At 36.6% G+C, this 12662-nt stretch overlaps 1 pseudogene, besides 1 other annotated feature; it reads right to left on the bottom strand.

The window, feature by feature from the left end:
- Window positions 8682-9235: an enhancer, noted in NCBI's record as "NANOG-H3K27ac-H3K4me1 hESC enhancer chr12:55738311-55738864 (GRCh37/hg19 assembly coordinates)". NCBI's record gives its function as "activates a minimal SCP1, AML or CMV promoter by ChIP-STARR-seq in naive H9 embryonic stem cells {active_cell/tissue: H9 hESC(naive)}" and the evidence as "EXISTENCE:reporter gene assay evidence [ECO:0000049][PMID:30033119]".
- On the bottom strand, window positions 9986-10924 carry OR6C7P (olfactory receptor family 6 subfamily C member 7 pseudogene; annotated as a pseudogene).

Genomic DNA, 12662 nt, shown 5'->3' with positions numbered 1-12662 from the left:
TATAAGCTGCTACTCATACTTGAATAACTCCACCTTATGGAAGCCACTGTTATCAAGGAGTGATACAGAACTTCCCTAAGTTAATAATATTGTTGAGTGTTACTGTGCTGTTTCACTGTCGTGTATATGAAAACATTTGAAGTCAATAAAACTTCAAAAATGTGATAGCCATGGAAATCTGATCACAGAAGTCTATTTAGTAGCTTAATGAGTAACAGACAGCATTTTGCCCCATATATGTCCACAGTGGAGATCCTGGGAAGTAGACCTAAAATCAGAGAGAGGTTCAGTTGGGTGAATAAGGAGTTTAAGAGGTAGCCAACATTGTTGATGGGATATAGAGATTTGTATCCATAGTTATGAAAAGCAAGGAGTCCTAGAAAGCCCCGATATAAAAACTTCTTCAAAAAAGGTGTCAGAGCAGAGCAATGATAATTTAAAGGCAAAATATATGATAATGTAAATAGTAGGCATTTTGAGACTTCCATCCATTTGTTGATTAACAAATATTTTATTGAATTGCTACACTACAATAAACCCTTTAGTAGGCAATAATGAAGAAAATGTTTCCTTTGCTTAAAAAATGTTTATGGGTTATTAGTAAAGATAGCCAAGAAAAATAAAGTTTTAGTATACTGTAAAAATTGCTATCATATTGATAAGCACACTTCTGCATTTCAGGATGCTTATGTGATCATATGTGACCATAAAATACAGCAATAAAAGTCCAATTATATAAATGGGGCAAAAAAAAGTCAACTCGAGCTTGGGAAATTCAGCACAAGAGACCTAACATCAGAAAGAGATGTAGGACATAATGAACGCCCTTTAATTATTTGAGGATACAAAGGTTTACTGTGACCTAAATCAGTTGGATGGAGAATGACTAAGTAATATCTACGAGTGAGATAATAAATTATCAACCACATATTCTCTAGCTATGGTTGATGTTGGTGGTGTGGATAATTTGGTATTCAATCAAAAAGTAACAGAGTCTTGCCTATAAAACCCTAAAGAAAAAAGGATACACAGAAAGCGCACCACAGTTATCATGCAGGTAAATATTACATATGAAATTGTAATAGAAGAGTTGGAGGACTCTGAGTGTCTTTAGCTAAAGTGTTTTATTTGTTGTCTAAGAGATGTAAGTTTAATTCCAAAAAAGTAATTGTCTCCTGAATGTTTAATTTTCAGAGTATGATAATTTGGAAAGAAATCCCTATAAGCCAAGCTTGGCATTTTTGATGTGCTCACTTAATACTTTTGTGAAGGAATAAATGATATCATAGTACTTATTCTGAAATTGTAAGATTCCCTTGGATACTTTTATTTTGCAAGGTTTCTCCCCTCCCCCAGGAGTTGGCACAGGGCTTATTTGTTGGGGCATAGCCCTGATTTGAATCAGTTCTGATATGTATTGGCTGTATGTGATTACCTATTTCCCATGACTCTTTATGCTTCATTCTTTAGAAGGAGGAGAAAAACAAATTGGCTGTTAAAATCTTAGAGGAATAGATAAAAAATTTAATAGAGTTTAGAACATAATATTCACATGACATAAATGAGTATTTGTTTCATAGCATTATGTTGCTTTGCATAATAAGTTGAACTAATAAAATTAGCTCTTTCATGAAAAGCATAAAAAGAAATCAATTGCTATTTGTTGCTTTCTGTTTCATCATAATTCACCATACACTACTTCCTTCACTTTTACAACTCCATGTTATTTGCAATCACGATTCTTTTTGCCCAGAACATTCATATAATCGAATTTCTTGTATTTACCAGAAGTATTTCTTGGATAATGCAGGTGTTGTGAGCAACCCTATCTTTTACATTGATACAGCATGTGGTATACGTTTTTATGAAAAAATTATTCTATATGTAAATATCTACCTTTTTAACTGTCATCTGAAATCCCAGCAGGTGAAGATAGTATTATTCTATTAACCCAAATGGCTAGCACATACTTGCAACCTAGTTGCTTTAAAAAATATTTTTAGAATAATATATGAATGAATTTTCATAATCATATAAGAATTGGGAAGAATTTACATTTGGGAGATTCTTATTCTGTTTATAGAAAACATACAGATATTGAGTTAGAAAAAATAGTGCACACATAATCACTTTAAGCATCAATTATTTACCAGATATTATTTGACAGATCAATTATTTATCAATTATTTACCAAACCAATTATTTACCAGATGTTATCTTAGAATATTCAATATTTATTAATTGTTATGGTTTTTCTGTTTGCTTGTGCATGGATTTAAAATGAGAAATAAAACTCAGTGTTTTCTGGATGCAAACTAAAAGTGCTTGAAACAGTTTGGCATCTTCTAGAAATCTAGGACATGGTTATATACATATAACTTCTTTCAAATAGACTTGGAGCATAATAGATATGGCAGGGTACACAGGTCAAACTGAGTGGAAGATCAATTCATGATTCATGATACCGATCAGAGCCACAGAGAGCTACTATGGAGAGTTTTGTCACTGCTTGGAGACCATCATCATCTTATTCCCAGTAACTTTTTAAAATCAGGAAACAATGCCATTCGTTATAGCACACAAAGTAATGAAGAAAGATAATGTCACTAAGGTGACAGCTGAACCCATATTTAGTAATTATTGTGAAATTGGAAATAATTCTGCTGAGAGAAAAGTCAGGAAAACTGAAATTCTATCTTTGATCATGGTAACATTACTTGACCTATAGGCAGTTTAGATCCAAATTGTTGCATTTGTCGAATTAAATTTAATTGTGTGTTTTTTTTTTCTCACTAGAATTTTAGGAAACTTGGGGTAAGAGTCATCTTTTTTCATAACTACATCCACAGTATGTGTCATAAGATACATAAGTATAACCTGAATGAATTAATGGTACATTAGAAAGTCCTTTAACAATTTAACATGAACTATTAATTATTACAAATGAAAGTCAGTGTATAATACTGTCTATGGGGTTTTGTAAAATGCTATTGTTTATGAATTGTGTAGTGCAAAGTAGAGATGTAGAACACTATCACAGCAGATTTCATTTCACTTCTCTACTTCCAGAAACTCTAAAGTTATTTCTGGATCCTCAGATCAAAACTCAGTTCTACAGAAAGTTGAACTCTCACCAGTTTACCATAATCCATGCATTTTCCTGATATTATTTTATATTTTCTGTTCTCTGGTTTTTGTTATTCATTTTTAGAGTTATTTAATCTACCTAAAAATACCTCTGAACAAGAGATAATAATAATTGTAGGTACCTCATAAAGTCATTAGCAGGATTAAATGAGCCAATACGTAGAAAACAATTAAAATAGGCCTGCAATATGATAATTGCTAAAAAAAACTTTATTTCATCTTCTGCTCTCCTCCTCTTATTACTTTCCTCATTATTATCATACTTATCATTAATATCATAAAAATGCTGTATACAAATAAGTTTCTAATGTTTTCTTTTTTTTGTATTTTAATATTTTGTTTGTTTGTTTTTTATCATACTTTAAGTTTTAGGGTACATGTGCACATTGTGCAGGTTAGTTACATATGTATACATGTGCCATGCTGGTGCGCTGCACCCACTAACTCGTCATCTAGCATTAGGTATATCTCCCAATGCTATCCCTCCCCCCTGCCCCCACCCCACCACAGTCCCCAGAGTGTGATATTCCCCTTCCTGTGTCCATGTGATCTCATTGTTCAATTCCCACCTATGAGTGAGAATATGCGGTGTTTGGTTTTGTGTTCTTGCGATAGTTTACTGAGAATGATGGTTTCCAATTTCATCCATGTCCCTACAAAGGACATGAACTCATCATTTTTTATGGCTGCATAGTATTCCATGGTGTATATGTGCCACATTTTCTTAATCCAGTCTATCAATGTTGGACATTTGGGTTGGTTCCAAGTCTTTGCTATTGTGAATAGTGCCGCAATAAACATACGTGTGCATGTGTCTTTATAGCAGCATGATTTATAGTCCTTTGGGTATATACCCAGTAATGGGATGGCTGGGTCAAATGGTATTTCTAGTTCTAGATCCCTGAGGAAACGCCACACTGACTTCCACAATGGTTGAACTAGTTTACAGTCCCACCAACAGTGTAAAAGTGTTCCTATTTCTCCACATCCTCTCCAGCACCTGTTGTTTCCTGACTTTTTAATGATTGCCATTCTAACTGGTGTGAGATGATATCTCATAGTGGTTTTGATTTGCATTTCTCTGATGGCCAGTGATGATGAGCATTTTTTCATGTATTTTTTGGCTGCATAAATGTCTTCTTTTGAGAAGTGTCTGTTCATGTCCTTTGCCCACTTTTTGATGGGGTTGTTTGTTTTTTTCTTGTAAATTTGTTTGAGTTCATTGTAGATTCTGGATATTAGCCCTTTGTCAGATGAGTAGGTTGCGAAAATTTTCTCCCATTTTGTAGGTTGCCTGTTCACTCTGATGGTAGTTTCTTTTGCTGTGCAGAAGCTCTTTAGTTTAATTAGATCCCATTTGTCAATTTTGGCTTTTGTTGCCATTGCTTTTGGTGTTTTGGACATGAAGTCCTTGCCCACGCCTATGTCCTGAATGGTAATGCCTAGGTTTTCTTCTAGGGTTTTTATGGTTTTAGGTCTAACGTTTAAATCTTTAATCCATCTTGAATTGATTTTTGTATAAGGTGTAAGGAAGGGATCCAGTTTCAGCTTTCTACATATGGCTAGCCAGTTTTCCCAGCACCATTTATTAAATAGGGAATCCTTTCCCCATTGCTTGTTTTTGTCAGGTTTGTCAAAGATCAGATAGTTGTAGATATGTGGCATTATTTCTGAGGGCTCTGTTCTGTTCCATTGATCTATATCTCTGTTTTGGTACCAGTATCATGCTCTTTTGGTTACTGTAGCCTTGTAGTATAGTTTGAAGTCAGGTAGTGTGATGCCTCCAGCTTTGTTCTTTTGGCTTAGGATTGACTTGGCGATGTGGGCTCTTTTTTGGTTCCATATGAACTTTAAAGTAGTTTTTTCCAATTCTGTGAAGAAAGTCATTGGTAGCTTGATGGGGATGGCATTGAATCTGTAAATTACCTTGGGCAGTATGGCCATTTTCACGATATTGATTCTTCCTACCCATGAGCATGGAATGTTCTTCCATTTGTTTGTATCCTCTTTTATTTCCTTGAGCAGTGGTTTGTAGTTCTGCTTGAAGAGGTCCTTCACATCCCTTGTAAGTTGGATTCCTAGGTATTTTATTCTCTTTGAAGCAATTGTGAATGGGAGTTCACTCATGATTTCGCTCTCTGTTTGTCTGTTGTTGGTGTATAAGAATGCTTGTGATTTTTGTACATTGATTTTGTGTCCTGAGACTTTGCTGAAGTTGCTTACCAGCTTAAGGAGATTTTGGGCTGAGACGATGGGGATTTCTAGATAAACAATCATGTCGTCTGCAAACAGGGACAATTTGACTTCCTCTTTTCCTAATTGAATACCCTTTATTTCCTTCTCCTGCCTGATTGTCCCGGCCAGAACTTCCAACACTATGTTGAATAGGAGTAGTGAGAGAGGGCATCCCTGTCTTATGCCAGTTTTCAAAGGGAATGCTTCCAGTTTTTGACCATTCAGTATGATATTGGCTGTGGGTTTGTCATAAATACCTCTTATTCTTTTGAGGTAAGTCCATTCAATACCCAATTTATTGAGAGTTTTTAGCATGAAGGGATGTTGAATTTTGTCAAAGGCTTTTTCTGCATCTATTGAGATAATCTTGTGGTTTTTGTCTTTGGCTCTGTTTATATGCTGGATTACATTTATTGATTTGTGTATATTGAACCAGCCTTGCATCCCAGGGATGAAGCCCACTTGATCATGGTGGATAAGCTTTTTGATGTGCTGCTGGATTCGGTTTGCCAGTATTTTATTGAGGATTTTTGCATCAAAGTTCATCAAGGATATTGGTCTAAAATTCTCTTTTTTGGTTGTGTCTCTGCCCGCCTTTGGTATCAGAATGATGCTGGCCTCATAAAATGAGTTAGGGAGGATTCCCTATATTGATTGGAATAGTTTCAGAAGGAATGGTACCAGTTCCTCCTTGTACCTCTCGTAGAATTCGACTGTGAATCCATCTGGTCCTGGACTCTTTTTGGTTGGTAAACTATTGATTATTGCCACAATTTCAGCTCCTGTTATTGGTCTATTCAGAGATTCAACTTCTTCCTGGTTTAGTCTTGGGAGAGTGTATGTGTCAAGGAATGTATCCATTTCTTCTAGATTTTCTAGTTTATTTGCGTAGAGGTGTTTGTAGTATTCTCTGATGGTAGTTTGTATTTCTGTGGGATCGGTGGTGATATCCCCTTTATCATTTTTTATTGTGTCTATTTGATTCTTCTCTCTTTTTTTCTTTATTAGTCTTGCTAGCAGTCTATCAATTTTGTTGATCCTTTCAAAAAACCAGCTCCTGGATTCATTGATTTTTTGAAGGGTTTTTTGTGTCTCTATTTCCTTCCGTTCTGCTCTGATCTTGGTTATTTCTTTCCTTCTGCTAGCTTTTGAATGTGTTTGCTCTTGCTTTTCTAGTTCTTTTAATTGTGATGTTAGGGTGTCAATTTTGGATCTTTCCTGCTTTCTCTTGTGGGCATTTAGTGCTATAAATTTCCCTGTACACACTGCTTTGAATGTGTCCCAGAGATTCTGGTATGTTGTGTCTTTGTTCTCGTTGGTTTCAAAGAACATCTTTATTTCTGCCTTCATTTCGTTATGTACCCAGTAGTCATTCAGGAGCAGGTTGTTCAGTTTCCATGTAGTTGAGTGGCTTTGAGTGAGATTCTTAATCCTGAGCCCTGGTTTGATTGCACTGTGGTCTGAGAGATAGTTTGTTATAATTTCTGTTCTTTTACATTTGCTGAGGAGAGCTTTACTTCCAACTATGTGGTCAATTTTGGAATAGGTGTGGTGTGGTGCTGAAAAAATGTATATTCTGTTGATTTGGGGTGGAGAGTTCTGTAGATGTCTATTAGATCCGCTTGGTGCAGAGCTGAGTTCAATTCCTGGGTATCCTTGTTGACTTTCTGTCTCATTGATCTGTCTAATGTTGACAGTGGGGTGTTAAAGTCTCCCATTATTAATGTGTGGGAGTCTAAGTCTCTTTGTAGGTCACTCAGGACTTGCTTTATGAATCTGGGTGCTCCTGTATTGGGTGCATATATATTTAGGATAGTTAGCTCCTCTTGTTGAATTGATCCCTTTACCATTATGTAATGGCCTTCTTTGTCTCTTTTGATTTTTGTTGGTTTAAAGTCTGTTTTATCAGAGGCTAGGATTGCAAACCCTGCCTTTTTTTGTTTTCCATTTGCTTGGTAGATCTTCCTCCATCCTTTTATTTTGAGCCTATGTGTGTCTCTGCACGTGAGATGGGTTTCCTGAATACAGCACACTGATGGGTCTTGACTTTTTATCCAACTTGCCAGTCTGTGTCTTTTAAATGGAGAATTTAGTCCATTTACATTTAAAGTTAATATTGTTATGTGTGAATTTGATCCTGTCATTATGATGTTAGCTGGTGATTTTGCTCATTAGTTGATGCAGTTTCTTCCTAGTCTCGATGGTCTTTACATTTTGGCATGATTTTGCAGCGGCTGGTACCGGTTGTTCCTTTCCATGTTTAGCGCTTCCTTCAGGAGCTCTTTTAGGGCAGGCCTGGTGGTGACAATATCTCTCAGCATTTGCTTGTCTGTGAAGTATTTTATTTCTCCTTCACTTATGAAGCTTAGTTTGGCTGGATATGAAATTCTGGGTTGAAAATTCTTTTCTTTAAGAATGTTGAATATTGGCCCCCACTCTCTTCTGGCTTGTAGGGTTTCTGCCGAGAGATCCGCTGTTAGTCTGATGGGCTTCCCTTTGAGGGTAACCCGACCTTTCTCTCTGGCTGCCCTTAACATTTTTTCCTTCATTTCAACTTTGGTGAATCTGACAATTATGTGTCTTGGAGTTGCTCTTCTCGAGGAGTATCTTTGTGGCGTTCTCTGTATTTCCTGAATCTGAACGTTGGCCTGCCTTGCTAGATTGGGGAAGTTCTCCTGGATAATATCCTGCAGAGTGTTTTCCAACTTGGTTCCATTCTCCGCATCACTTTCAGGTACACCAATCAGACGTAGATTTGGTCTTTTCACATAGTCCCATATTTCTTGGAGGCTTTGCTCATTTCTTTTTATTCTTTTTTGTCTAAACTTCCCTTCTCGCTTCATTTCATTTATTTCATCTTCCATTGTTGATACCCTTTCTTCCAGTTGATCGCATTGGCTCCTGAGGCTTCTGCATTCTTCATGTAGTTCTCGAGCCTTGGTTTTCAGCTCTATCAGCTCCTTTAAGCACTTCTCTGTATTGGTTATTCTAGTTATACATTCTTCTAAATTTTTTTCAAAGTTTTCAACTTCTTTGCCTTTGGTTTGAATGTCCTCCCATAGCTCAGAGTAATTTGATCGTCTGAAGCCTTCTTCTCTCAGCTCGTGAAAATCATTCTCCATCCAGCTTTGTTCCGTTGCTGGTGAGGAACTGCGTTCCTTTGGAGGAGGAGAGGCGCTCTGCGTTTTAGAGTTTCCAGTTTTTCTGTTCTGTTTTTTCCCCATCTTTGTGGTTTTATCTACTTTTGGTCTTTGATGATGGTGATGTACAGATGGGTTTTTGGTGTGGATGTCCTTTCTGTTTGTTAGTTTTCCTTCTAACAGACAGGACCCTCAGCTGCAGGTCTGTTGGAATACCCTGCCGTGTGAGGTGTCAGTGTGCTCCTGCTGGGGGGTGCCTCCCAGTTCGGCTGCTCGGGGGTCAGGGGTCAGGGACCCACTTGAGGAGGCAGTCTGCCCGTTCTCAGATCTCCAGCTGCATGCTGGGAGAACCACTGCTCTCTTCAAAGCTGTCAGACAGGGACATTTAAGTCTGCAGAGGTTACTGCTGTCTTTTTGTTTGTCTGTGCCCTGCCCCCAGAGGTGGAGCCTACAGAGGCAGGCAGGCCTCCTTGAGCTGTGGTGGGCTCCACCCAGTTCGAGCTTCCAGGCTGCTTTGTTTACCTAAGCAAGCCTGGGCAATGGCGGGCGCCCCTCCCCCAGCCTCACTGCCTCCTTGCAGTTTGATCTCAGACTGCTGTGCTAGCAATCAGTGAGACTCCGTGGGCGTAGGACCCTCCAAGCCAGGTGTGGGATATAGTCTCGTGGTGCGCCGTTTTTTAAGCCGGTCTGAAAAGCACAATATTCGGGTGGGAGTGACCCGATTTTCCAGGTGCATCCGTCACCCCTTTCTTTGACTAGGAAAGGGAACTCCCTGACCCCTTGTGCTTCCCAGGTGAGGCAATGCCTCGCCCTGCTTCGGCTCGCGCACGGTGCGCGCACCCACTGGCCTGCGCCCACTGTCTGGCACTCCCTAGTGAGATGAACCCGGTACCTCAGATGGAAATGCAGAAATCACCCGTCTTCTGCGTCACTCACGCTGGGAGCTGCAGACGGGAGCTCTTCCTATTCGGCCATCTTGGCTCCTCCCCCTCTAATGTTTTCAAACATTTACATGGATATTTATATTTTATTCTCAAACTCTTGGTGATTGTATTTGATTTGACAGAAATGCCAAGTAGGATCACATTTCCTAAGAACATTCATATATAGTATCTGGTAAGAATGAATAGTTCCCAGGTCCACATCTATCGTGACACTTACATCATCAAACTAAATGCCTTAAGTCTCTTCCAAAGCTAACCACTCCTATTCAAAATCACAATCATTCACCCAGATTTTCTACTTCATCCAAATACACATGAATAAAATACTTTAATTTTCAGAAAACTATGAAGCAATATTCAGCTTTATCAAATTTATTGAATACAATGTGGTGGAAATTTTAATATGGAAATAAAAATGCATGTTTAACTATAATGAAGGAAAGAGAGTGTTGAGAGGATATATATAATAGAAAGCATTTACTGTAACTTGGTTTTTTTTAAACCTTATTAATACTTTCATTTACCAGAGAAAAACATAACCTTTTGGATGGTGTCCTTAAAGGCTTGCTTCACTTGCTGGTTCCTCAGGGTGTATATAAATGGATTCATCATAGGAGCAACGGAGGTATTGAGAATAGCTACTCCTTTGGTCAACGACGCTCTTTCTTTTGCAGAGTGATTAGCGTACATGAATATGCAGCTTCCATAGGAAATGGAAATGACAATCATGTGAGAGGAACACGTAGAAAATGCCTTTTTTCGCTGACTAGCAGAGGGGAGTTTCAAAATTGTCCTAATGATAAACATGTAGGATAGAATGATTAATGCCAAAGTGAAAAGCAGAATTACTATTGCAGAGTAAAAACCAATCACTTCTAGGAGCCATGTGCCTCCCTATGCAGGATAATTGCAATAGGGAGAAATAGTCACAAGCAAAGTGATCAATGACATTGGAGCCACAGTAATCTAACCGGAGAAAAAGAATAACTGGGGGGAAGATATTTAAGAACCTGCCAACCAAGCACAAAAGACAAGCAATATGCAGACTCTCTTGTTCATGATGGTCATATAATGAAGGGGTTTACAGATGGCCACATAACGATCATAGGACTTGGCTGTTAGAAGGTAAAATTCAGTTATACCCATAAAGATGAAGAAAAACAACTGAGCTGTACAACTATTGTATGAAATAGTTTTGTGTCTGGTGATAATGGTGGCCAGAAATATAGGGAAACAGAGAGTTGTAAAGGTTATTTCTAATACAGAAAAGTTCCTGAGGAAGAAGTACATGGGGGTCTGCAGATGGGAGTCCACCAAGGTGAGAGTGATGATGGTCAAATTTCCAGTGACACTTAATATGTACATGATAATTAAAAAGAGAAAAATCACAATCTGAAATTCTGGGTCATCTGATAGCCCTAGAAGAATGAATTCTGTGAGTACTGTGTAGTTTTTCATTGCTGATCTTTATTTTCCCCTTTAGAAGAGAAAATGTATGTTCCTCCTATAGAATGTTAAAAAAAAAATAAAACTGTTGAAGATAGGCATAATATTTTTAAAATATACATAATTAATGAATAATCTATAAAATTTTAAGAGTTCCCCATTAGCAACCCTCTGTAGTTTCCAATCTGCCTTTCATTCAAGTAACAAATATTATTAGAAGTTAAATATCAGTCTTTCTTCACTGAAAATACATTATTACAGGCCATAAATAAAAAATTATGATGCTAACATTTAAACAGAAGCCACTTCTTCTAATATTTCTTCAAAACTAATCTTCCAGTTACTTAAATCAACCTGGAATGCAGCACAATCTAAATATAGGGTTTAAAAATTTACAGATGTTATTTAGTTCTATCTTGAAATGTCATATTTTGAGAAACTCAGTCTCACATAGGTTAGGAAACTTTCATGAGGTTAAACAACTAGTCACCATAGAAAATCATCTCACTTTAGAAAAATAATGCATGTCTATTCATGGGAATGTTTTGCTGGCATTGTCTCCTGGTATTACTTATGGGATTGGTTGATGCTATCACCTTCCCTGATCCACTTTTTTTTCCTTTTTTTAGCAAAAAGATGAGAAGAACAATAAAGGAAAACTTCTGTTGCTAAAACAAATAATTGCCTAAAAACATTTTAATTAATATAATACACAATTTGTTTTTTTTTGTTTTGTAGTTTTTTTTCTTTTTTAAACAATATTGCTATAGCAAAAAAACAAGTGGATGGTCAAAATAACACTTAATGGGAAATAGGTATTTCAAATAGTAAATGCCTTTTTAAAATCCTATTTCTATCACAGCATAACATCTAAACTTATTTAGAAAAATGAACAAACCAAAAGTTACTGCTTTGTTTCTGCTTTGGGACTACATTTATAGTCGTCTCAGTAATAAACAACTATACAACTTTTATTATTGTAAGGGCTATAAGTCCACAATCATACATGCAAATAATCTTTTAAAACATGTAAGTGGAATAATATGTATTAAATTTAAAAGTAACAAACTTACTTACTCCTTGGTTTTTCTCAATAATTTTATCTCAAATTTCACCATCTAGCTTTCTTAAATAACCATATAATTTCAGAGCTGGAAAATTTATTTATCAATTTATTTGGTTTCTTTTGTACTTATAAAACAAATGTGGTTATTTTTCATGGCTTTTAGACATTACAGTTCTCCCCTAGACTAGAAATATTTGACCCACAATACCCTTAATTCCTGATATTGTAAAATTGTTGGAACATTTTATTATATTATAATGAATTCTTGCTTTTCCTCTCTCTCACACAAGATCCATTTATAAACACAGTTATACCTGGATTGATTAGTAAAGTAGTCTTCCATTTTCTCCTTTCCATGTAATACACAAACACTTGTTAAAACATTCTTCTTTGAATTTATGAAAACATTTTAAATAATATTTTAAAACCTTATAATTATATATTCATAAAATCTAATTCATACTTCCCTTAGGCTTCAGACAATGTTACATTTTCCTGAAAATTCTGATTTGAGCAATAGAAAATAAAGAATATCCCTCCCTATGTATGCTATACAAATGGAGTTAGACTTATTTTATGTGTCTTTCTTGTTGGCTCATGGGAATTCATTATGTAAGCAAAGTGTGCCAAGGTGAGGCATCAGTAAAAAATACAGATGAATCACTGGTATTAGACATTTTATAA

Source organism: Homo sapiens, chromosome 12, assembly GCF_000001405.40.
Source record: "Homo sapiens chromosome 12, GRCh38.p14 Primary Assembly".
Taxonomy (NCBI): Eukaryota; Metazoa; Chordata; class Mammalia; order Primates; family Hominidae; genus Homo; species Homo sapiens.
The sequence above is the reverse complement of the archived record's forward strand: the minus strand, read 5'-3'. Positions and strand labels throughout refer to the sequence as shown.